This window comes from Homo sapiens, chromosome 1, assembly GCF_000001405.40.
Source record: "Homo sapiens chromosome 1, GRCh38.p14 Primary Assembly".
NCBI classification, from domain to species: domain Eukaryota; kingdom Metazoa; phylum Chordata; class Mammalia; order Primates; family Hominidae; genus Homo; species Homo sapiens.
Window position 1 is genome coordinate 29,663,319 of NC_000001.11, and position 26,843 is coordinate 29,690,161.

Below are 26,843 nucleotides of genomic sequence, written 5' to 3' on the forward strand. Positions count from 1 at the left end.
TGTGGCAACTCTGGCATCAGATTTTCCTTCTCTGGGGTTTAGTGCTTTTTTGTTATTTTTATTTTATTGATTTTTGTAGACTGTCTCTGTGTTGAGGATAAGCTTGAGGTGTAAACTTATGGTCTCTTAAGATCTTTTCTGAGCCTTTCCCTGGGCATTCATGGTCACTTTCTAATTTCCCCCATACATGCAGTTGTTTTTGAATGTCCTAGCTTTTACTGTCTACCTCCCAAAAGGGTAAAAAGAGAAAAACTAAGGAGGAAAAAGGGGCATTGGCTTTTAAAATTGCCTGGAACTCACTTTATTCAGAGGGAGAGACAAGTAAAAGTGGGGGAAGGTGCAGCAACAATAGCCACTTGCCTCTTTGTCTGTACTTCTGTAATCAGAAGCAGAAATTAGTGATCAGATATCCCTGATATTTGGAGGGCAGGGTCCTGTTTTGCCCATTCTGGCTCCTGCAAGCTGTGTACAACCTACTCCAGGAACACATGCACAACTGATTACACATGGCTGAGAGGGGTGGGGAATGGATACCTGCTGCTGACTGCCATTTACCGTCTAAGCCTTTCTCTGGAAGTTGCAAGCCTTTAATATACTCTAGGGTTCCAAAATGGATACATGACATAGAGGCTGCCAGTGCAATTCTTGTCTAGATGGGGAGACAGATTCCTGGTATTTCCTACTCTGCTATCTTCTTAGCATATGTGTGTTTCTAAGCTCCAAGTTTTGGAATTTTTTTTATGCAGCAAAAACTAAATAATACACATGTGAAAGAGCCAAACTGGGGAGAGGGGTTGACTTCTGTGTTAGACTGGGAGTCTGAACTTTATTACAGTGACTCTAGTGCATTGAACCCGTTGGCCTGGGTTTAAATCTTAGTTCTTCTACATACCAGCTGTGGGGCTGATGAGTCATTCTGCCTCTCTATACCTTGGTTTTCTCATCTGATAAATGGGGGTGGCTTACCTGGAGCATGGTAAGTGCTCAGGAAACATTGGCTGCTGATTGTTGACCCCACATTGTGGTTGCTGATGGTCACACATAAAGACTCTAGGACTCTGGCCTATGTCAGCTGACTCAGATCTTCAGGACCAGATGAGGTACTGGATGTGACCCTTAATCTTTTGATGTGTGTTGTTGTTAGGCCATCCCATGGGTCACACGGAATCTCTGCTCCTGACCTTTTGGCCCACTCAGGCCTAACAACATGCAATACCTTCTGGAAAGTCCAGATATTCCGTTGGGGGCAGTCTTCTCTGTCTCCATGAGCTGAGACTCATTTGGTTTTAAAATAAGAATGTGCAACATGCACAGCAATCCAGGGAGAACATCATTCCACATGCACATGAGGCAGTAGCCATATTGTTAGGTTGTTCTTTAAATACCTGGGGGCCTTTGGGTAATGACTTTATTTAAATGGAGTATCAGAGAAATTAGAGTTGACACCAGTGTTCCTACTACAGGCTGTGTGGCTTTATGAGAAGTTAGTAAAGCATTAAGCCAACTCCATTAACAAGGGCCTCCTAATCTGCTCTGAGACAGGGGCATTGAGATTCATTGTCTCCGTTCCCTGATTTCCCAACTCAGAGCATAGAGATGCAAAGGATGAAGATTCTAAGCAAAGGGGTGAGCAGGGGTTATTGGTTTAAAAGGGGCTGAGGTAAAGTGCTGTGAATAGGGCCTGGCATGTCTTAGTACTCAAATGATAGCAAGAATTCTGCTTTCAGCCAAGATGGAATAACAGAGGCCACACTTACCTGCGTGCCTGAAACAGCTAAAAAGCAGACAAAAGATATGAAACAACAGTTTCCAAAAGATCAGGTAGTAAGTGAAAAAAGACAGTGATCCCTAAGAGATGGGAAATAGCTCTATGCTTTCCCCAGCTTATTGCCTGAACAGAGATTACAAGCTGGTGGCAGGAATGGGGAAGCCAGGCTTCTATCTGTCTTCATGAGTTGAGGAGACTGGGCTAGAATATGGGGAAAATGAGGCAGCTGTAGTTTTCAGGGCAGAGTACGGCAGATGAGAGAACTAGACAGGATGACAACACTGGAGATTTGCAGAGAGCCTGATCAAGTCTTCAGCTGAGTACCTATTACCACATGTGTGTGAGAAAACTTCAACCTTAAGGCTGAAACACAGCCAAAAGGATTTGAGGGAACAATCCTGCAACTCAAACAGTTCTTACTCCCACCAGTCAGAATGGGAAAACAAATCAGTCATGAGGCATCAGATAGATTATTCAGGAGGATCTGCGTTAGCTGTGGGGGAATGTTGGCCCTAGACTAAATGGAGCTTTGCTTATTTTTAACAAGCTTAAGAGCAATACTTGAAAGGCATATATCTATGTTACTTAACTATACCCCCAAAGCAAAATTTAATAGTATTTATGAGAATACAAAGCTATCAAGTGCCCCAAAAGGCAAAATTCACAATGTCTTGCATTCAATCAGAAATTTCCAAGCCAGAAAGCAGGAAAATAAGACCTATAGTAAGTATAAGAAGCAATAAAAACCAACTTAGAACTGACACAAATTACATATTTAGCAGACATGGACAATAAGAACAGTTATAACATTATTTCACATGTTCAGAAATATAGGAGAAAGACTGAAAATAATAAGGAGGGCCAAGGAAGATATACAAAAGACCAAAACTGAACTTCTAGAGATGAAAATTACAATGTGTGAGATGAAAACTACACTTCTACACTAGATAGCTGAAATAGCAGATTAGACACTGCGGAAAAAAGATTGCTAACTTGAGGAAGTAGAAATACAGATTATCCAAAATGAAACACACAGAGAAAAATAATAATATAAAAAATGAACACAGCGTCAGTGAACTATAGGAAAACTTCAAGGTGCATGTAATTGGAGTATTTGAAAATGAGTGGGGATCAGAAAAATATTTGAAGAAATAAAAGGCCAAATTTCTTCCAAATGTGATTACTACTATAAATCCATAGATCCAAGAAGCTCAACAAACTTCAAGCACAAGAGACATGAAGAAAAGTATACTGAGGGACAGCATAGTAAAATTTCTCAAAGACAGTGATAAAGAGAAAATTATAAAAGCAACCAGAAGAAAAGGACACATTACTTACAGAGGACCAACAATAAAGAGGGCAGCAGATATCTCATCAAAAATAATGCCAGTCAAGTGACAGTGAGCAATATCTTTAATAAACTGTCTATAGTCAGTGAAAATAATTTTCATCAGTGAAGGCAAAATAAAAATGTTTTTAGATATACAGAAGCTGAAAGAATTCATCACTAGATGAAATGTGGAACAGGAAATGTTAAAGGCAGGCAGAAGGAAAATGTTACCAGCTGGAAGTACGGATCTAGACATTTAGGGATAAAAAGCTCTGAAAATGATAAGTATGTGGGAAATATATATATTTTTCTCATTATTTAAATTTCTTTAAGAGAGAATTGACTACTATTCATTATGTAGAAACAGATGTATGACAACTTTAGTACAAAGAATGGAGGTGCTGTTGTGAGGTTCCTATAGTAAACATGAAGTGGTACAATGCCACTTGAAAGAAGGCTGTAATAAGTTAAAAGTGTTACTATAAACCTTCAGGCAAAGACCAAAATAAAAAAGCAAAGAATTATAAGTAAGAAGCCAACAAAGAAGATAAAATATAATTATAAAACTCACCTAATTAATCCAAAAGAAACCAGAAGAAAAGGAAAAAGGAAAAAAGAACTAACGGAAGAAATAGAAAACAAATAGAAATATGGTAAATTTAAACCCAGCCGTAGCAGTAATCACCTTAAATGTGTCCAATTAAAAGGCAGAGGTTGTCATATATTGGATAAAATAGCAAGACCCAGCTATAGGCTGTCTATAAGAAACTCACTTTAAATATAAAGATAGAAACAGGTTAAAAGCAAGGGAAGGAAAAATATATACCATGGAATACTAATCAAAAGAAAGCTGAAGCGTCTTTATTAATAACAGATGAAGTGAACTTCAATGCAAATAATATCAGGGATAAAGAGTGTCATTTCTTGATGATAAAGGTGTCAAATTACCTAGAGGACACATCAATCCTAAATGTTTGCAAACCTGATAACAGAGGTTCAAAATTCGTGAAGGAAAACTGACAAAACTTCAAGGAGAAATAAACAACTTACAATTGAATTCACAGTACCTCTCTCTCAGTAATTGAGAGAACAAATAGAGAAAATTAGTAAGGATATAGAAGACTTGAACAACACTATCAACAAACTTAATCTAATTGGCATTAATAGAACATTCTACCCAGCACCAGCAGAATACACATTCTTTTCAAGGGCACACAGAACATTTACCAAGATAGATGATATCATGGGCTATATAAAACAAATCTCAAATTTTCAAAGGATTAAAGTCACACAAAGTATGCTCTCCAATTATGGTAGAATTAAGTTAGAAAGCAATAATAGAAAGATATCTAGAAAATACCCAGATATTTGGAAAGTAAACAACATAGTTCTAAATCATCCATGGTACAAAGACATCCAAAGGGAAATTAGGAAGTTTCTTGAACTGAATGACAATTAAAATGTAACATGAAAATTTGTGAAATGCTGCTAAAGCAGAAGTTAGGGGGAAATTGTACACAAATATTCAGAGCAGTTCTGTTTGTAATAGTTAAGAACTGGAGACAACATAAATGTTGATTAACAGAGTCATCAAGGGATAAACAAATTGTGGTGTATACATAGAAGGGAATACTACTCATATATAAAAAAGAATTTACTATTGGAACATACAACAATATGGATAAATCTCAAAATAATTATGCTGAGTGAAAGAAGCCAGAAAAAATGACGACAACATATGGTAGGTTTCCATTTATATAAAATTCCAGAAAATGTAAACCAATCTTTAGCGATGAAAAATAGCTCAGTGGTTTTCTAGGGACAGGGTTGGGTGAGCATTACCTTTGCAGGTCAGAATTACAAAGGGGCACAAGAAAACTTTTGGGGGTGATGAATAGCCATTATTTTGATTGTGGTAATAGTTTCACAGAAGCATAAAGATGTCAACACGTATCAAATTGTACACTTAAATATATTCAGTTTATTGTATGTCAATTGTACCGCAATAAGAATGCTAAAAATAAATCTTAGCTATTTTTAATATTTTGTCTCAGGCATAGCGCTAAGATAAGAACTGTTATACTTTTTTGGTGATATTTTACTTTTAAATAAGACATGAGAGTGATTCTATTAGTATTCCCTTTTTTGGAAAAAGGACACTTATGTATAGTAAAGTGACTAGTGTAATGTCATACTACATGCCAGTAGGTGACAGAGCCAGGATCTTATCCCAAGTCAATTATACTCCAGAAACCAGGCAATTGAGATCCGGGATGCAAATTTCCAATCTTATTTTGGTTGCTATATTTGAACCAAATCATAGTGACATTTGCACGGAGCCCTGGAAAGTAAAGAGACATCCTGGCAGAACTCTCTGTAGTGGGGGTGAGAGTAGAGGCTCTGTGTTCTTGGGGAGATAATTAAAATCCTGAATTGTGCCTCTGAATGAGAGACAGCAAACAGCCGTGTGTTACTCCATGGTGGTGGAGAAGGAGAGGTGCTGGTTCACAGACAGCGTCAGGTTCCACAGGGTCATGGAGCCAGCGCTTGGTGGAACTGGGATTGACTCCCAGTTCTGCCTCTCCAAAGCCTGTGTCCTGCCTTCACTCCTCCACCCACCCTAGTTTCATCTCTGCGCCTCCTTTACAACTTTGAGCTTTTCTGATTCTGAGAATTCTGAAGTAGGTAAGAACCTTCAAAGGAAGGGAAAAGGGACAAGATCCCTCCAGCAGGAGTGACCGACTCTTGAAGAGGCACAACGGAAATTAAACAGCAGACCCCCAACTTCACTCAGCTCTAACAGAGGAGGTTTTGACCGTAAGCAAGTTTCTTTAATTTCTCTGAGCCTCAGATTCCTTAGCTATAAAATGGGGCTACTTTCACTCAGGTGGTTCTGATGAGGCTCAGAGCAGGATGCAACTCACAGTCCAGTGACTCATACCGCAGTGGGGCAGCACCTCCTTCTTAGAGAACGAGAAGATTCAGAGGCTCTGCTTCTCTCTCTCTCCAGCCCCTGTCCCCCTAAACTTTCTCTAAGAACCACAGAAGAAAACATGCTTATCCCAGGGCTTTGGTCCTGAGAACGCAGGCAGATGGCACTGAATTAGCAGCCCGGCAGACCCAGGAGGTTCCAAACACGATCAGCTCAAACAGCCTGGATCTCCTCTCTTCCTCCAGCCTAGTGTGGGAACAGCCCTGGGTCAGTGCCCCTCCCCACTCTCCTCCTGACCAGGCATCAGGTCAGCCAGAGGCCTAGAGAGAGGCCTCAGAATCATGGGTCTCAGGAGGAGGCTCAGAGTGACAAGACATCGTCCATCACCATTGTGGAGGGTCAGACAGCTGTGCCGTCCAGGAGTTCACGCTACCCTTCACAGTGTGGGGCCAGTGCTGGGCAGGGGCTGCCCAACTAAGGATGATGTGGCCCAGCCCCCCTGCATCTAGGTGGGGCCACCATATAGCTCTGGCCAGTGGAATGTGGGTGGAAATGATATGGACCCCTCTGGTCGAGGTGGTTAATAATCTGTGCACCTGCTCCTCACTCACTTCCCCTTCCCTGGTGCCCCTGGAGGTCATGCATGTAGATGACATCATTCCAGGTCAAAGATCCTGGATCCCTGCATTACCACTTGGAGGAGGCACCCCCTGGAGGAAATGCCCCAGGCCAGCAGCAGCCACTTGGGCTTTGCCTAGGAGAGAAATAAACTCTTCCTGGGTGACGTCACTGGGATGTGGGGGCTGTTTGTTACATACCTCACCATCCTGACTGATACAGCCCAGCCCCATTCCTCGTCCCTCCATCCAGCAGTTATCAATGGGGCTCCTCTGTGTGCTAGACTCTGTGCTGAGGATGGGGACACAGCTGTGACTGAGATCTACCAGGTCCCTGCCATCACAGGGCTCTTGGCTGCAGTTGGGGGAACAGCCAAGTAAAATGAGCAAATGAACAACAAAATAATTCCATGCTGTGAAAAGGGCCAGGAAAGGAAGGGAAGGATGATGAGAAACAAATGCCAGATCTGGGGAGGTCATGGTGGGAGGGGAAAGGGACCTGGGAAGGGAGGCTTGAAAGTGTGGGAGGGAAAGAGGGAGCTGCAGGGTGGAGGCGGTTCCTGCAGAGAGGACAGAGGGGCAGCCCTGACCAAGCCTGGCCACACACTGCCAGCTTTATGAAAATTACTTTATCCTTACAACAATTGGGGGAACGGGGCTGTTATTGTCTTAGATTTATAGGGGAGGGAACTGTGGTCCCAGAGAGGTGAAGGGAAGGGGCCAAGTCACACAGCCAGGAAGGGTCAGGGTCAGGGTCAGGTTCAGAGGAAGAGCTTGGCGGCCTGACTTGACTGAACACCAAGATCCTTTGGGATGGCCTAGAAGGCCCCTCTAACCCCCAGGAATATGACCCTAAGGGCTGCAGGAAGCCTTTGGGGCCAGAAACATAGTCTAGGGGAATAGGGAGAACCCAGGGCCCGCCGGATCTGACCTGTGCTCTCCCCAGCTAGCTGTGTGACTCGGGCAATGCATATAACTTCTCTGGGCCTCAGCTTCCTCATCTATAAGGTGGGAAGCCGCACCACCACTCAGGGCTGGGGTGGGAGTGAGGGAGAGGAGGTGAGTCAGTGCCTCCAACCTCAGAGCCCAGGGCCTGGTTCTCTGCTGTTGCCTTCATCCCACAGGGGTTTACTGAGCTCGATGATGTACACGCTCTGTGTCCTGGGCTTCATGTCCCGGATCCCCCCAAGGCTGAGACACAGGAGGATTGTGCACTAGACGGAACACCACGGGAGCAGGGGCCCCATCTGTCCCCACCACTCTGTCTCTGGCACCTAGAATGGCAGTGCCTGTCATACTCCAGACACCTGCTACATATTTGTTGAGTGAACAGAATATTCCAATTTTATAGACAAGGAAGCTGAGTCCTGAGGAGTTCAAGGAATGCCTCAAGGCCAATGTCTCTCTTCCTGTCCTGGAGATGAGTCCTCGAGTGTCAGCACCCCCAGGAAAAGCCTTTTGTGCATGGATGACCTGGGAAACTCATTAAGGTGCAGATTCAGATTCTGGTCTGGGGTGGGGCCTGGCATTCTGCATTTCTGGCAAGTCTCCAGGTGATGCCCATGGGCCGGGCACCACCCCCTGAGCCCTGAGGAACCAGAACTCAGGACCTAGCCAGACTGACGCCATGCTGGGCAGTCAACCTTCACATTGAGCGTTGAGTGGGTGGGGCCATCCAGGAGGCTTCCTGGAAGTGGGTGGGGCCATCCAGGAGGCTTCCTGGAAGTCGGTGGGGCCAACCCAAATCCTCAGAGGTGGCCCTGATGGGGGAGGGAGACAGTGGGTTTCCAGGCGGGAGAGGTTGAGCGGCTCCTTCCGTGTTCCTTGTTCCCACGGCTGGTGAGGAGCGGAGGATGCTCACAGCAGCTCATATGGAGCCTCTGCTGGTCCCCGGGCTGAGATGCTGGGATTCTCCCTGCCTTCTGCTATCTGGAATGTGTCCAGCTCAGCATGAAGGGGACATGTAAGAAATGTTGTGCACCAGAAAGCTCTCAGTTCTACTCGGGGTGCAGAGTAATTTACTCCTGATTAAGTCAAATGTCATAGGTCACCCTGTGACCATTTTTACTACTGGATCTTTTCTGATGTCCTCACTCCCACAACCTATTAATCGCCAATTTTCTCCTCTGCCTCCAGTTCTAATTATGCATCTGAAGCAAGGCCATTTAGTCCCCACACCACCCCCCTTCCCTTTTTCCTTCTATCTACTAGTTGTGAGCTTCTGCTATGAGTCCTCAATGTCCTAGGCCCAGGGAAGCATCCTAGAGCTTCTTGTACTCAGGGAAGATGACAGGAGATGAAGACGTGATGACACCTGCCCTCAAGTGTCTGTTTTCCCTCATGGGACCCTGGAGATGGAGATGGGTAGGGGGTCAGCACAGGAATCGGCACCAATAAGGCAATGGTTTTGGTCACACTGCAGTCTCCCTCTGTTAGTGGACTTGTCTCCCCAAGATAGACCCCAGAGGGCAAGAATATTTCTCCAACAGCAGGTGCCCACCTCAGAGTCCTCACCTAATTGGTATCAGAAAATACTTGGCAAAGAAAGGCAAGCAGGAGGAAAAGGGAATTTGAGATTTAAAAGAATCACTGACTCAGCTTCCTCGGCCTACCTCTGGAAAGCTGATCTGTGTAGAGAATCGATGAGCCTTCCACCCACGCAGGCATCTGTCTCCCCAAATAGTCCCAGCTTCAGGGGCCCCACCTGCACACCAAGAATACTCCTTAGCAGCTGAGCTGATGTGTATTTTCACACCCAAGTGTTGTTTTGCTTCTGCAAGTTCATTATGGGAAAATGGGCTGTCAACCCAGGCTTCAGAGGCAGAACAGGAAAGAGAAATGGACTCATTTCCCCAATTGTGGACATAATGGGGGGATTCTTACTTACCTTCACAGGATGCTGCTCACATGGGGAATTTGCAAGAGAAATTTCAGGGCTTGTTGATTGTGCAGTTCTTGGGTGACTGATGAGACACTTTGCAGGGATTATCGGTGTGGCTGGTGGGGCTGACTGGCTGATGAAATGTGGTCTAACGGCCTCATCAGAGGCGCTTGTGAGACCATCGTTCCCCTCACAGCAGATGGGCAAGGGCTCAGCCATCCTCGCTCCCATCCAGGCACACCTGGGCCCCAAACCAAGTAAACAGGACATTCCTGGTCCACCTGGCCTGCCACCCACTACCTGGGAGCTGCCTCCCACCCGGGCCTGGACGCAGCTCCACTTGCTCTGGAGAGAGGGTCCTGGGAAGCCTGCCCCAAGAAGGCCAGAAATATCTCATGGAGAATTCCAGACCCAGAGGCCTAAAGATCTGGCAACAGCAAACTGCTTGCACTTCTCCTCCAGTGTCCTTCAGGGCTCAGCTTAGGCTCCCCCTCCCCCAGCAAGCCCTCCCTGATGCCTCCAGCCCATGCTGCCCTCTTCCATTCCTAACTCCTCCCCAAAGCTCTGCAGGGCAGTCTGGGGTGGGCAGGAGCATGGACCTTAGTGACAGAGGCTTGGGTTTGAGCCATCTCTGCCATCTTGAGCTGTGTGACCTTGGGTAAGATACTTGACTTCTCTGGGTCTCCATTTCCTCCATGTAAAATGTTATATTTGAGTTTATGAATGCATACATACATTCTGTGGTGGTAGAAATTAAGGTATGGTTTTGTTAAAGCCCAGTGGCCAGTGGGAATGTGAGGGATGACATTCCAGCCACTCTGTGTCCAGCTCCCCTCCTGAGAGACCTGCTCTCACGGTTCTCTGCAGAGTGCCTGGCCCTCCTGGGCATCCTGGGGCCCACCTGGTGACACATGTCCAGACATCCATCTCCCTAGCAGGATGTGGGGAATCCTGGGATCTCTGCTCCCCTGGAGAGATGCCAGGCAGCTCAGGAGGTGGAGCTATCTCTCAGGAAAGTGGAGAGAGCTGAGGTGCTGAGGAAGGAGAATGGCCGAGTCATTCACTTCTTTGTTCACTTAGCACCTCCTGTGCACCAGGCATGTGCTTCTCCAGGTGTGTGGGGCTGGGGAGCTATCATGCAGGAGTAGGACTCATTGAGTAGATAGACCTTAACTCAAACTGGCTTAGATAGGAAAAGAGTGTATTGGCTCAGAGAAGTCTTGGGGGCTGCTGGTTTCAGGCCTATCTTGACCTGGGGCTTAAGAAATTGCAATGGCTTTGTGTCAGGCAATGTTCCAGTACCAAGGAGAGAGTGGAGCAAAAGAGAAGATGCTCTCTCCCTTCCCAGGGCTCATATTCAGTGTGAGCAGGCTGCATGTGCACATACATACATGAACACACATGTACACACGTGCACACATGTGCTTGCACATGCACACACCTCCATTTTTCAGACTTTTATGTAGGTTTTATTCTCAGGCAGGCTCATTTCACGATAACCACTAGCAGCTCTGGTGTGTACTGACTTAGATACATCTAAATTTTCCAGAGAAACATGTCAGTTCTAATTCTGATTGGACCATCTTGGGTCATGTGCCCAGTTCTGAGCCAATCACTACAGCCAGACAGAGGATATTGCTGATCAGTCAGCCCTCAGATACATGCTCACCCTTGGAGCCAGATATACGTTCAGTGCCTGCCTCACTACCTGGATAAAGAATGGGGAGAGATGGGGTGGACGGAGAAGGAGGGCAATGCACAAAGTGGGTTTGATCCCTGGCTCTTGCTTGGCAGCTGGGCTGGGATGGCCAAACTCAACTGGACTTATGTGGGCACACTGAGGAACTTCCACAATCAGAAGGAGATGATGCACCTGCAATCTGGCACCACCTCTGCACTCTGACTACCTGGCTCAGGTGACCATACCTGCCTTCAGTCCACCCCAGCTGACCCGGCCTCCATCTGAGGGGTGAGGGTGGGCAGAGCTGTCCTGATGCTGCTGGGCCCACAGAGCAAGCGATGGCTCAGCTGCTCCCTGGCTGTGAGACCCAACTTCTCTGAGCCTCTGTATCCTCATCTATAAAATGGGAATGATTAAACTGACCTTGTAGCAGGAAGGGTTGTTGTGAAGGTAGTGACAACACCTGTGACTCTCCTGGCCTCGGGCTGGCATACAGTAGGCACTGACTGAGTACAGCTGTTGACAGCAGGTGCTCATGGAATGGCAGCCATTGCTGTGACTTCTCGTCTGGTGTTTTGCGGGTGGGTGGTGTGTGTTGCTGGCAGGCCTGCCTCTGCCATCTGACTATGACCTCTCAAGCATAGGAACGTGAGTGATCTTTTTGTCTCTGAGCCCAGGGTCCTGCACATGGCCTGGGACTCTGTGGGACTGGGTATTTATGAAGAAAAGAGGTTTAATTGACTTACAGTTCCACAGGCTGTACAGAAACATGGCTGGGGAGGCTTCAGGGAACTTAACAATCATGGCGGAAGGTGAAGGGGAAGCAGGCACGTCTTACCATGGTGGAGCAGAAGAGAGAGAGTGAAGGGGGAAGTGCCATACTTTTAAACCGTCAGATCTTGTGAGAACTCATTCACTATCACAAGAACAGCAAGGGGGATATCTGCCCCATGATGCAGTCACCTCCCACCAGGCCCCTCCTCCAATTCCACATGAGATTTGGATGGGAGCTAAATCCAAACCACATCACACTCCATGGTGGATCCGCTGAGTCATTGGAAACTGGCTTCCCAGAGGGCAAAGGACAGAGTGGGAGCTTCATGGTCATTGTCCAACAACAGCCAGGCCCTGAACCTCCCTCGAATGTCTATTCACAGTGCACAGATTTCTTGGCAGCAGAGGGAGTTATTTAAAGTCCCTGTGAAAACAGCTGAGCTTTGATGGAGCAGAACAGTTGTCACTGCTGGGGCCCCAGTGGTGCCTGAGAAGGACAGAAATATGCGGGCAGGATGTAATCTGTTACGGCTGTGCTCAGGATGTAAAGACAATGCCTGACCTTGGCGCTCACCCTGGGCAGGGATTTGTAAGCGCTGCTGTGACTGGGGACCTGGGGATCCTCATTCGTTTGTCTTCTCATCTCATTCTTAGAAGTGTGGTGGGAGCCAGGCTGCACATGGCAGATATGAGAGGAGGCGCCTTTTCAGCAGTATCAAAAATACACCTCACGGATGGCTGCTGGATTAATCAATCTAAGCGTCATAGACACCCCTGTGTGTTGGGCCCTCAGCCGCTGCTTTACAGAGAGCACTGAGAAGGAGGCTGGCACACAGTAGGTTCATGATACATGTTAGCTGCTAGTATCTCTACTGTTATTTGTATCCTCCCCCCATTCCTAGCACTACTGTCCAGGCTGTCTCCCCCTTCACCTTCCCGAGGATGTCCCATCAATGGGACTTCATTCCTTTTCATCAGGTCAGTTAATCCTAAACTCCATGGATTAGAGGAAGGGCTACATTTTTATCATCTGGGCATATCATCTGGGTTGAGTCACTCTGGGAACTAAAATATCCTCTGTCAGGTCAGTGGTGACCAGCATGAGGTTGTGTCTTTTTCGTTTCTGATTATGGTTCATAGTCTGGGTGGTGTTGTTTTATCCCATCTCACCTCCCACATAGAGATCCTCATTGATAGACCCTGGATCCTTTGTTTCCACATATCTGGGCCAAACTGTCCTGTATAGAATGGTAGAGTCTTGGACCATCAGAGCAGGGAGGAACTAGGCAGATCATTTGGTTCAACCCCTTGATGGTACAGTTAAGAAAATGAGGGCCCTGAGTGGGGACGTGACCTGCCTAAGGTCACACAGTGAGTTGGTAACAACAGGGACCTGGACTCCATCTCCTGACTCATATCCGATGCTCTGTCTGCCCTGCCTTACACAGTGAGGACTGGGGAGGAACATGATGAAATTAAGCCCATGGCCAGGCATGGTGGCTCATGCCTGTAATCCCAGCAATTTGGGAGGCCGAGGCGAGTGGATCACCTGAGGTCAGGAGTTTGAGACCAGCCTAGCCAACATGGTGAAACCCCATCTCTACTCAAAATACAAAAAATCAGCCAGGCATGGTGGTGGGAACCTGTAGTCCCAGCTACTGGAGAGGCTGAGGCAGGAGTATCGCTTGAACCCGGGAGGCGGAGGTTGCAGTGAGCCGAGATTGTGCCACTGCACTCCAGCCTTGGCAACAAGAGCAAAACTCCGTTTCAAAAAAAAAAAGAAAAGAAAAGAGATTAAGCCCGTGGAGCAAAGGCCTCCCTCGGGGACTTCTCAGATTCTGGAGGGGCCTGCGAATGAGGGTTTCCCCGGTGCTGACTGGGGCCCATGGATAGACTTCAACCTGAGGTCATGGCAGCCAATATCATCGGTCTGTATAATGTTGCCAATGGTTAACACCTTCCGAACGAGGGTTCCTTGATCCCAGTTTGGGAAATGCATTGAAAACTGGCTGTGATCCAGCAGTGAACTTTTGCAGAATTGGCTGGGCTTTCCTGAGCATCTGCACCCGGCGTTAGGAGGTGTGAGCCTGCACACGTGTCTGCTCCATTCCTCTGCCATCTGGGTAATATATCATCCTGCAGAGGCACTGCGATGTTGGAGCGCCACCCTTCTAATTCAGACACGCATTGGAATCCCTGGAGAACATACCAACACCAGCAGAAATACCACGGGCCCCCACATCCTGGGCTCATCAATTTGCCTTGTCAATTTGCGTTTCCCTGTTTCACGCATGGATGACATTGTCAATCCTGGGAGTAGGTTCTGGTGGCCTGAAGCACCCTAAGGAGAGTGAGTCTCATGGGTGGCCCCTGTCTGAGTGGGAGAGGATGGAGCCATTGTTCTTGGCTTTGGGGTCTGGGTTTGATGGCAAGTTAATATCACTGCCGAGAAGGTCTGGACCATCCTCTTGTTCCCCACAAGAATTGTCCCCACCTCTGAGACCAGGGTCATCTGGTCTTTGGGTGTTTCCCCTCAGTGGCTGCCCACTAGACTGGGTCCCTGACTGGGACCTTCCAGGCCACAGGAGGCATAGCCCTGCCACATCCCTATTGGTCACCCTCTGCAGCCACTTAGGTCCCCTTTCAGTGCTTCCAGTCCCTCTTATTCCATGATCCTCCCTTGCATAGGAAGCTCTATCTCTATTTCTATCCCTATGACCAGTCCCCCCCATATGAAGATGTCATCTTTTGGGAGCAGGAGCCTTTTCCACTCCACTCTCCACGGGGTGCCCCACGTAAAAGCAGCAGTGGGCATAGTAAGCACTAAATAAAGAAACGTTAGAAATCAGCATTGTCAGATTTTCTTTCTTTCTTTCTTTCTTTCTTTCTTTCTTTCTTTCTTTCTTTCTTTCTTTCTTTCTTTCTTTCTTTCTTTTTTTTTTTTGAGATGGAGTCTTGCTCTTGTCACCCAGGCTGGAGTGCAATGGCACAATCTCGGCTCACTGCAACCTCCACCTCCTGGGTTCGAGCGATTCTCCTGCCTCAGCCTCCTGAGTAGCTGGGATTGCAGGCGCCTGCCACCACGCCTGGCTAATTTTTGAATTTTTAGTAGAGATGGGGTTTTGTCATGTTGGCCAGGCTGGTCTCGAACTCCTGACCTCGTGATCTGCCCACCTTGGCCTCCCAAAGTGCTGGGATTACGGGCATGAACCACCACGCCTGGTCACATTGTCAGATTTTCTAAACTAACCTTTTTAAATGTGCAAAATGTCAACTCCCTAGTGAGACAAATCAATGATTTATTCACAGTTTTTTAAATAAAAGAAACAAAAAGCCATACCTTTAAGCAACATTTTTAAAAGACATTTTTAAACATTTCCTTAAGCCTGCATGTCTCTAAGTGAAATGGTTCAGTTCCTGATACTCAAGCGTGAGATACCCTTGGCAAGGAATTTGTGTGGGAGATGCGGAAAATGATTTTCCATCAACGACAAACTTGGGTACACGTAAATATTGGGCAAAACTGATCATTCTTCTGAGGAAAGGAAATGGAATGGCCTTGAGGACATGGCACCAAGATCTGAGATTCCTGAAAGCCATGGCAGGGCAGGAGACACACGAATAAAAGTGGCTGAGGCAGTCACCTCGGGTGTCAGGTTTACCCCCCGAAACAGGCCAGGGATCCAAAGTGAGGCCGAATCACTTTAGTCATAATTATTATTGCTATCATTATCATTATTATATTATTTTATCATTATATTATCTATTATAATTATATTGTATGATCATTATTGTAACTGACTTTCCTATGTGGCAGGCACAGTGCCAAGTCATCCATAAACATTGACAGTACAGAGTTTCATCCAACACAACAGCCTTACAAGGTAAGTCTCAAGAACAGCCTCATTTTGCAGATGAGCAAATAGGTACTGACAGGTTGAGTCATCCGTCCAGGTCCCATAGGCGTAAGTGGTGCCAACCCAGGTCCACTGGACCCCAGATTCCATGTTTCAGCCTCTGGGCTGCACCACCCTCAGAGCCTCAGTTTCCCCATCTGTAGGATGAGTGTAGGGCTGGGGGAAGGGAAACTTCTAGGTATAAGGGGGACGGAATGAAGAGGTGCTTGGAAGTGCTCATGAGACATCCCCTCCCTCTTAGACCCTGTGACCAACCAGCTCTCCCCCTGGCTGGGGACCCCCCAGAGCAAGGCTGCATTCTTGGCCTCTGGCGAGAATAATACCCGTCACACTCAGGCATCTTTTCCAGCCAGGAGCTGGTCGGGTCAATTTGTTCCTATCACCTCTAATCTCACAGCCACTGAAGGGGATGTCATTTGCCCATTGTGCAGATGGGAAAGTGGAGGCTTGGCCTAGGACCACCCCCAACCCACCCCAGCCTCGCTCCTCTTCTGAGACTCCCACCTTCCCAGGGGAGAGTGTGCAGTAATTCACTGTCACTGTGCATTATATTTTGCCACCCTCTTTCCCTCCTTCTCTTCTTTTTGGTTTTGTCTTTTCTACTTGCTATGCAGCTGACAATTTCATTACTTGATTTTTCATTTACCCCAGAAAAGCCAAGAGGTCTCGAACCTAAAGAACCAGGTCGATGTTCCACTTCAGGACTGGAGCAGGGAGAGCTGCTTTTGGACGGGCCTGCCCTCCATCTCCTGTCTCTGGACTTGGGAGGCCTGTCCCCTTCACCCTGTTTCAGACCCTGCAGGGTGAGTGGGTGGAGGGGTGGGAGAGCCCAACAGCCTGAGCTGCTGGCCAGGGGCCCTTGGGCACCTCTGCAAGTTCAAACCAGTGCAGCCCAGAGGAGCCTGGCTCCCTTATTCCTGCACATCTCAATTTTGCATTCTTCCTGACAGTTTAAAGGCTAAGAAAATCCCAGCAGTTGTGCGTCCCAGGCTGAGACCCTGCAGGGAGCATAGGCCCCCTGGCCCGCCGCAGGGGTGGTTTGCTGTCTCAGTTGTCCTGTCCCACTTCACACACAGGCTGTGTGCTTGCTCTGAGTTGTTGGGGCTACCTGAGTGCTCCCTGGATGGGAGGTGGTCCTGGGAGGGGCTGAATGGGGAGGAGAGCATCTCAGGCCCACTAAACAGGATGGTCTGTCCCCAGGAGCAGACCCAGAGGTGTCCACGTGGCTGACGTGGCTGGTGCTTCCTTCACACGGATTTTTTTTTGTGTGTGTGTGTGTGTGTGGAGTTTCGCTCTTGTTGTCCAGGTTGGAGTGCAATGGAGTGATCTCGGCTCACTGCAACCTCCGTCTCCTGGGTTCAAGCAATTCTCCTGTCTCAGTGTCATGAGTAGCTGGGATTAAGACATGTGTCACCACCCACACCTGGCTAATTTTTTTGTACTTTTACTACAGATGGGGTTTCGTCATGTTGGTCAGGCTGGTCTCGAATTCCCGACCTCGGGTGGTCTGCCCGCCTCGGCCTCCCAAAGTGCTGGGATTACAGGCGTGAGCCACTGTGCCCGGCCCACACTGCTTTCTCCATTCCAGTCTCGCCTCAGCCAGGCCACAGAGCCTTGGCCTGGGTCAAACTCACCCCTCACTGTGGCCAATTAGTTTTAACTTGTCATAAATTTTTTAACGAATTGCTGATCGATAAGAACTTGGCAGCTACTACTGAGCCTCAAAGTCAAGGGGTAAAAAGAATCTAAATGATGTCTGCCAGGTTGTTGTATTAACCTGGCTCCATGCTTATTGCCTGTTGTTTTGAGTTAATTACCTGGTGCCTAAGTGTATCACTTCTACATCTCAAGCACTGCTCTTACAATCAATTCATATTTAATTAACGCGACTCTGATTGAATGGCAATGGTGTTACGGTGTGCGACACAGAGGAGGAGCGTTTCCTGCACGCACAGCTGCAGGAAGGAGGAGCTGATGTGGATGAGGGGAGGGGGCACTCTTACAGCCTCTGAGCTCCCCCATTAACTCCCCAAGGTGACCTTGGCAGCCTGGAGTGGGGTCAGAGTTCCTGGGTTGCTGGGATCAGAGTTCCCAGACTGCTCCCTTCTAGTGGGGCCTGTGGTCTCAGGAATTACAAAACCTGAGTGGGAGATTTTCTAAAAAGGGGACAGTAATGCCAATTTCATGAGGCTGGTCATTCCTCCCTGAATGTGAGTCTTTGGACAGAAGCCAAACTCAGTGAATGTTGGTGGAAGGAAGGGGTGGGTGAACAGAGAGGGGAGGCAGGTCCTGAGGACAGAATCCTGTCCCCTCTCCCCTGCCCGACCCCCCTGCTAAGTGCTACGATGGAGGATGTGCCAGGTGCAGGGACAGGTGGGGTGGGGGCTGCCCATGGAGAACATGATGCCTGGCCTGGGTCTTGAAGTGTGAGTAGGAGTTTCCTGGATGGACAGGCAGGGGCAAGGGTGTTCCAGAGAGAAAGCACGGCATGAACAAAGGCCTGGAGGCAGGGACTGAATGTCACTGTTGCCCGGAAATAACCAGAGCACCAGAGAAAAGAGAATGAGGGGTCGGGTGAGGTGGCTCACGCCTGTAATCCCGGCAGGCTGGGAGGCTGAGGCAGGTGGATCGCTTGAGGTCAAGAGTTTGAAATCAGCCTGGCCAACATGGTGAAACCCCGTCTCTACTAAAAATAAAAAAAAAAAAAATTAGCCGGGCGTGGTGGCGCATGCCTGTAATCTGAGCTACTCAGGAGGCTGAGGCAGGAGAATCGCTTGAACCCAGCAGTTGGAGGTTGCAGTGAGCCGAGATTGTGCCACTGTACTCCAGCCTGGGTGACAGAGTGAGACTCCGTCTCAAAAAAAAAAAAAAAAAAAAAAACAAAAAACAGAATGAGGGCCAGATGGAGGGAGCCAGTACTGAAAGTGTCAACATCTAATCACCCCCGCCAAGGGTTGTTGGAAAAATTTAAATGTAATATAGAAGTTCACTTACCTTGGAGTCAACTGATTGTAAATCCTGCCTCCTCATTTTTTGCCTCTGTGATATTGGGTTAGTCACTTAACTTCCTCGTGCCTCAGTTTCCTCATCTGTGGGTGGGGATAATGACAGCACCCCCTCACTGGGCTGGGGCGAGGACTAACCCCTGTGCAGCGTTTCCAGCAGTGCCTGGCTGCCCACAAGTGTCATGAGGGCTGTTGCTGGGATGAATGCTCATGAGGTGCCTGATGCCTGGTGTTTTCCTCCCATCCTTGGAACCACCAGGCAGGTGGGTGGATAGGACTGTGGATCATGTTGAAGAAGCTGAGCCCCAGGGAGGTGACGTGGCTTCTTCAAGGTCATATGGCTGAGCTGCTGAGTGGGGGAGCCAAGATCTGGTCTATCTATGTGACTTTGGAGCCCAGCCAGTGCCCAGTGCAGTGTGTGACCCGTGGCAAGGCTGCCCTGCTCCCTCTGACCCCACTGGGGAAGCTTCTATAGCCCCAGCGCTGAGTGAGCCCAGGCGAGAGTTCACGCTGAGGGCCCCGGATACTGGGTGGAAAACAGCCCCACCTGCAACCACACTGCTGACAGATGCTCTCCCTCTCCCCACCCACTCAGTCCCTCAGCCTCGGCACACAAAGGCCCCTTCTCCATCCCTCCAGCAGGAGACAGCAGCCCCTCCTCAAATGGAACAGAGCCCCAGTTACCAGCTCCTCCTTGTAATTAATATAAGAATAGCATTTCTGTTGAAATCCCTGCCTGGATTAACTGGCTGGAGGATTTAACTCATGTACACACAGAAGATCTCCACAGACCTGTCTTCTAATATTTATTCTGGTGACTGTTACATGCAGATAAGGTGAGTGCCTGGCGCTGGAAATGCAGAATAAATTTACATTCTCTAAGTGACAAAGAGCTGCATAGACATCCTGTTATGGGCCTGGCTGGGGGCCCAGGAAGAGGGAAAGCCAGCTCCTGGCCCTTGGCAGCTTCTGTGTGGTGCTTCTCCAGCAGCAAAGGCTTGTGCGTGAGAATCTCAGCACCTGAGAACCCCATGGTTCTCGGCTACCAGAATCTTACATCTCCAAGTCTTAAGGTCTTCAGTCAATAAAATCTTAGAACCAGGAAATAATAAGTCAGAATCATAGGCTTTTAGGATTTGGAGATCTTAACCATCATTCAGCCCAGACACCCAACTGGCATTCCAGTCCCATTCACAATATTCCGAGGAGTGCATTTCCAGGTTTCTGGTCTGCTCCAGTGTCTCCTCCTCCGGGAAGTCTTTTCTGACTCCCCAGCCAGATCAGCGCCCCCATTATAGGCCCTGATAGCTCCATCTGCTTTGTTTGATAAGACCTACCATGAGTGTCACTTAAAACTTGATCTGCACTCCCACTGTGAACCCTCACAGGTAGGGGAGGGTCTGCTTTTGTCCACCAAGAAATCCCAGGCACAGGGGCTGGCACATAGTAGATGCTCAGTGAACGTATTCCACAAGGCTACGCTGCACGCACTCCCAGCTGCAATGGATCTGCCCCAGAAGGCTGGATTAGTGCCAGTCTTACCTCTGGGTGCCTGGGTCTTCATGGTGGCTCTTTAAGGTGGAGGGCATGCAGAATCAGTGATGAGCCCTCTTCCTACCCTTTGTGCATTTTTGTCTTCTGAGGAGGAGTGGGTCAGAGGCACTTCCTGGAGGAGAGAACAGGACCAGGACCCATTCTGGGTGTTCAGAGAAGCTCTGTGGAGCCAGATGCCTGCATGTGAACCCTGGCTCTTCCAGTCCCTAGCCGAGTAGCCTTGGACAAGATACTTGATCCTTTCTGTGCCTCAGTTTCCCCATCTATAAAATGGGGATGGTGAGAGCTCCTATGTTATAATAAATGAACTAACAGATGTAAAGCTCACAGCTCAGCACCTAGTACAGTAAGTGCTCAAATCTTTGTGTCACAGGTTCATGGTCACCTGAGAGCATTCCCCAAGGCAGGCGGGGGCAACACGAAACAACCAAGTAGGTGATCCAACTGGTTGGCATCCTTCTCTGCCCTCAGCCACCCCAGTGTTGGCATGATGGGGGTGGAGGCTGTGCACAGGCACAGCTGCCCTCAGCCACCTCAGTGTTGGCATGATGGGGGTGGAGGCTGTGCACGGGCACAGCAGCATGGCTCCTGCTTTTCCAGGCTGATCTCCCGCTGCTGCTTCTGGAAACCAACATGCCAGCAGCGGAACCATGGCTAAGTCCCTGCGATGGCACCAGGCCTCACGGAGGCCAACTGACAAGTCAACTCCATTACACTGGGCTCTTCCACGTGGAAGGCACAGCAGTCTAATCTCAGAGGAACAACCATCCATTCCTGGGAGGGGTTTGTCTTTCCTGCCTGCAGGGTCTCAGCCGGCACTCCTACCCCGGGGTTGATGGATTGTTCGATCCACTGGCACAGGATCCCACATAATAGTGTGTCAGACCAGGGGACCCACTTTACTGTAGAGTAGGTGCAGGCACAGACTCACAACGAAGGGCCCATGTTTATATCACATACCATACCACCCAGCCGCTGCCCACCTTACAGAGTGTGGGAGGGGCCTGCTGAGGGCCCAGCCAGAGCGCCAGCTTGGAGGAAATACCCTGTGAGCACAAGGTTCCATCCTTCAGGATGCAGTATATGCATCTAATCAAAGCCCTATATAAGGGTTGCTCCCCAATAAGAAGAGTACATGGACTTAAGAAAAACAGGTAGGAGCCAAAGTGGCCCCACTTACTATTCTCCTAGTGAACCACTGCCAGACTTAGTGACTCCCATCCCTGCGACTCTGGGCTCTGCAAGGCTGGACATCCTGGTCCCCAAGGGGGACCTGCATGTTCCAGGGAACACAGTAAGAGTCTCTAGCTTGTTTGCCATGGTGGCTGCCTGGGTATTTGGGCTCCTTGTACCCAGGGACTAGAAAAGCAAGAAGACGAGGTCGCAGTCTTGGTGAGGGTAATGGAGTCTGATCAGCAGGAGGTGGGGGGCTGCTGCAGTGCAGTGGGGGCAGGGAGGAATGTGTGCAGAACCTGGTGATCCCTAAGAGTTCCCTGCATGGAGAAATGAATGTGAGCAGCACCAGGGGAGTGCTGTGACAGATGAGGAGGGGCCCACTTGGATGCCCTGACAGTTTATCCTTCCTATCCCGCTCTTGTGCTCGAAAGAGTAGGGACCTACTCACTCTCTTGCACTTGAACTTTTAGCCTGTGTGAGTAGTAGACAAGGAGACGCACACCCAGAGGCACCATCAAGGAAAGGCTTGCTCCCAGCTCCGAGAGTGCAGTCCACAGAGGGCCTCCTTCTGTTAGCTCTGCTGCAGGGGCTCCCTTCCTGGGAGCACACACTCAGGGGCTGAGCAAGACAGGGTGGAAATGCCCAGCCAGTTTTGCCCTGCGCTGGGCAATTCTGACAGCTGACTCAAGCTACTTACCTTCTGGCTGTGGACCAGGCTGACTTCCTCCCCTCTGGCCCCTCCTTCCTTCCTTTCCCCTTTCTGTCCATCCCTAATAAGCATCTCCACTCATGTCCCCAACTCCATCTCAGTGTCTGCATCTCAAGAAGCCCTTGTGACCCAGGGAACCCAGTGACTTTGTATCAGTCAAACGCGAGTTGGAGTCCAATGGCCATGACTTAACTAGCTGGGTAACTTCAAGTGGTAAACATCTTACCTGTCTGTGCCTCACTTTCCTCATCTATAAAGTGGGGCTAATAAATCTCCTGGCCTTGCAGAGATGTGGAGAATGGATAGGAAAATGCTTTGTAAAGGAGAACACACACGCACACACACACACACACACACACACACAAAATTAATTAAAGTCCTCTCTGCTTGCACCTATGCCTATGGTGTAGGCTGAGATCTATAATAACGGGGGCCTGGCTGGATCTGAGATCCTTCTGGGAAAGAGGTCTGGGCAGCTTGATGCCGGTGACCAACACACCGGCATGCCCACAGTATAGCTGCCATTTCGGGACCCCACAGAAGGGAGGTGCAGGCGGTGCAGAGGGCTGGCTGGGCAGGGCAGGATGAGCTGGGGTGAGAATGGTAAGTGTGGCGGAATTAATCCCTTCTCTCCTCCTCCTTCCAGGAAGCTTCACTCCTCTGCTCAGCTGCTGCACCACATTTCGGATCAGAACATCTAGATCCATCAAAACAAGAGGTGGATGAGATATCTGCACATTCAGGGAGGGGAGGATAAAATCCAGGGGGCCTCATGAGATTGCTCTCCACGTGCGAGTGAGCAGACAGGCGGTGTATTTCCTGATTGCCCCAGGCTAGGTGAGGAGTGGCTCAGGCAGCCCAGGCTGGGCAGGGACACTAGAGACTGATGCATTAAAGAAAAATTTATCAAAAAATCAGGGAAGAAGCTAGTTTCTCTTTACCCCCTCTATTTAAGGACCCCTTGAGTGATAGTTCCCGGATCCTCCTGCGCTGGTGTTTGTCTTTCGCTGAAGGTGATGGATGTGTAAGCTGCACTAATGAGCAGGGCTTGGGCCATCAGACAGTCACAGGGCCGTCCAGCTCCATGCACCTCCCAGGCCGTGAGACAGTCACAGAGTTGTCCATCTCCACGCATCTTCCAGGTTCTGAGACAGTCACGGGGCCGTCCATCTCCACGCACCTCCCAGGTTGTGAGACAGTCACGGGGCCATCCATCTCCACGCACCTCCCAGGTTGTGAGACAGTCACGGGGCTGTCCATCTCCATGCACCTCCCAGCTGTCAGCATGGTCCACCGGGGAAATATGTGATTAATGCAGAGGATTATGTGTGTGTTGGGGTGGAGGGAGATGTAGCCCAATGGAGAGGAAAGGCATGGACCAGCTTGGGGGTGGGAGATGGGGGTCAGGGGGATCTGGACCTCAGTTAGTCAGGACAATTGAGAGAGTCTCAGTAGGCTCCCAAGAGATAGTGAATGAATTCTCCAGGGGCTGGGGGCAGTGGGTCAGTCCAAGACCCTGCCTGCCCCTCTCCTCAGCCTTAAAGGTTCACAGTAGAGAGAGGAGTCTTCCAGACCTGAGTTCAAATCTTAGCTTGGACTCAGCTTTGTGACATTGGACTTGTCAATGAACTTCTCTGTGCCTCCTTTTCTTCCATGTATGTCCATTTAGCATTAAAAGAACTAACGAATGCGTGGCAAGCCCTTTGCACAATAGTTGACACAAAGCCAGGGCTCAACCAACAGCTTTTCTGTCTCCTTATTGCTGTTGTCAGTAGGATTATCTAGCTTTTCTATAGGCATGTATTGTAGATGTTTATATACGATATATTTTGTCATTGAGATCTTACTGTATTCACCTGTCTCTCTCTTTTTTTTTTTTTTTTTTTTTGCTTACCATTCTGTTGTGAGCATTTTCTCACATCATTAAAAAGTTCCTCAAAAACGGGATGTTAATAGCTTCATAATGGTCCCTCATTGAGATGCTTCATAATTGACTTTTTCATTCTTTCTGGTTGGATAGACAGGGCATTACAGTTTCCAGCTTTTCACTGTTATTATCAGGCTGCAATAAGCATCTCTAGGACAAATTCCTGGAGGTGGAATCAGTGCATCAGAGCACTGACATTGCTGAGGCTCAAGAGCGTTCCTACTTAGTTGTCTTCCAAAAAGGTTTCCAGCACTGCATGAGAATGCCTGTCTCACCACACATTTACCAGCTCAATTGTTCCCTTTTTATTTAGTCTTCATGAATTTCTCAGGCCCCAAATTGAATTTCATCGTCTTTTGGAGGCACAGAGCTCTGGCCCATGGCTCTTGTTTCCCAGCAGGGTGATAATTAGATTATCTTCAGAGGCTTCCAGCAAACCTCATGATGAAAGGCAGGGCAGCCCTGGGCATGGAGTCAAAGAAGCTGGGTTCCCATCCCAACTCTGTGCTCTCTCACTGTGTGACCTGGGTATATTCTATCTCCCTCTCTGGGCCTTTGTTTATCAATCTACTCCAACAGCCTCCCACTTGGTCTCTCTGCCTCCAATGCATCCAATGTCTGGAACAGTGACTGGCATATAATACGTGCTCAACAAATATTTATTGAATTCTGAAATGAAAAAGTGACCTTTCTACAGGAAGAAGCTGCCACATCATTATGCTGCCTCCAACATTTGCTTAAGCTTCCTAACATTCTGTTTACTTTTTTGGTTCTCGCATGAATTTCTGTTTCTACTTAGGATATGAAAAGACACATGAGACAAAATGAGAAAAAAGGCCAGATAATCTACAGAGTCATAACTTTTCTTGAGCCCTTCAGAGAGCTGGAGTCGCAAGGCAGCCAACTGAACTGAAACCTAAAGGATGACAAGATCTTCTGAGAAAGACAGAACCACCCACTCCTGCACCTCTGGCAGAACCCTGGAGGGAGAGTGGGCTGCCATAACAGACAGCTAACACTGCAATGAATTCTTAAAGGCTGAGTGTGCAAAGGCTTTACAGCTGAGCCATCCCAGGAGCCCCCACACTTAAAAGGAGTTCACGTTCCTTCATCAGCTGCTTCCGGTAAAGCTCAGGACAAAGACGGGACAGGACAGGGATCTGAGTCAGCCACCTCTCAAGGGCACAGGGACATGAAAACCCTCCCACTTCCCAGACCCTTCTCTTATCGGAAGCAAAAGCCTCAAACCACTTCCCTGGGGCAGGAAAAACCTTCTACCCTGGAGGCTCAGACAAAGATCTGTTGTCTCTGGGGGAGGGGCTGGAGCAAAAGCCGTTTTCTGCTGGGGAAGGGGTAGGAAACCCTTCCACCTTGGTTCCTGGTTGAGACGTAGAAGTTGAGATCTTTGTTCTCAAAGAGGTCTGGAGAGATGCCTGCAGCCTCTCACTGGAGGACCAGCCGTGCTGCTCTTGCACACAATGTCACCAACGAGCTGGTCTCCGGGGGTCCTCAAGAGCCCTTCAATGGCCAAAGTAGGGGGCAGGCTGGGCTCTCAGGAGGATGTTGGGCCGTAGGAGAGGGTGGGCCAAGGGAAGGAGGCCATCAGAGAACAGCCTTGTATGGGCGGGGCCGGTCCCCATTGTGGGGAGGGCCATCCCCACTGGTGAGTGGGGCCATCCTGGAGCAACGAATTAACTATTTTAGAGGTAGAAATGGGGTCACAGAGTCCAGTCAGGTGTGAGTCCACTGGAGAGGCCCTGGACCTACTGTGAAGCTAGGGCAGGGGGCAGCTGTAATGCCAGAGACTCTGTTGCTCAGAGCTGGGAAGCTGGGGCCTAACAATGCAAAGACCCCACCCATCCCCAGCTGTGCCCACCCGGGGCCTTTGCCCTCCCAGCCCTCCTGCTGGGGCCTCCCCTCCCCCCTCCGGCGTTACAGCTCCCACGACACCAGGTGGCACCCTTGGCACAGCTGCGCCTCATCACCTGGAGCTTCCCTGTCCTGTCTCTCCTGCTGGAGCTGAGCTCCACGGGGACAGGGATGGGTCTGCTTCCGTCATCGCTGTGTCCCTGGAGAAGGGTGGGCATTCAGTGGGCACTTGGTACATTTGGTGAAGGAACAGGGCAGGACTAACTTTTACTGTGGGGGAGAGATAAAGGAGAGGAGGTATCTCTTGGCTTCCCAGTCTGGGACCCTGGTGGGGATGGCAGGACGTTTCTGGGATAGGAAACCCCAGGGAGGAGCGGGCTTGAGGGATGGATGGGGAGCTCTGAGGGCCCTGGGCCCAGCCAGCAAGAGCCAGGCTTTGGTGTTCTCCCATCTCCCTCCCCCTTGACAGCTTATGGCCACACTTTGCCCCAGTGGGTGGGATGGATGCCTCTCCCGCATCGTCATTTTCTAGCGGTAGTTTGAGAAGTTCTTGCTTTCCCCTCATCTGAGGGCTGCTAAAGACCCAGACACATCCACCAGGCACCTGGACGGAAAAGGCAAGGGGAGGAGAAGGAAAGTGAGGAAGGAAATCAGTTTTCTGTATCTGGTTTAGATCTAGATTTTTAAATGTGAAAGCTGGGAG

At 48.9% G+C, this 26,843-nt stretch overlaps 1 long non-coding RNA gene across 3 annotated transcripts in view, besides 1 other annotated feature; it reads left to right on the forward strand.

Moving 5' to 3' along the window:
* LOC107984934 (uncharacterized) overlaps positions 1-25,979 on the forward strand; it is an 84,718-nt gene extending 58,739 nt beyond the window's left edge. Inside the window, exons 2-5 of one of the 3 annotated variants that reach the window (XR_001737957.1) lie at positions 15,801-15,867; positions 16,552-16,703; positions 22,991-23,181; positions 25,071-25,979. This is a non-coding gene — a long non-coding RNA (uncharacterized LOC107984934). Of the gene's footprint in view, positions 1-15,800; positions 15,868-16,551; positions 16,704-22,990 lie in introns of all 3 variants that reach the window. The other 2 variants (XR_001737956.1, XR_001737958.2) reach the window with 2 other exon arrangements.
* Positions 26,032-26,531: an enhancer, noted in NCBI's record as "H3K4me1 hESC enhancer chr1:30162197-30162696 (GRCh37/hg19 assembly coordinates)". NCBI's record gives its function as "activates a minimal SCP1, AML or CMV promoter by ChIP-STARR-seq in naive H9 embryonic stem cells {active_cell/tissue: H9 hESC(naive)}" and the evidence as "EXISTENCE:reporter gene assay evidence [ECO:0000049][PMID:30033119]".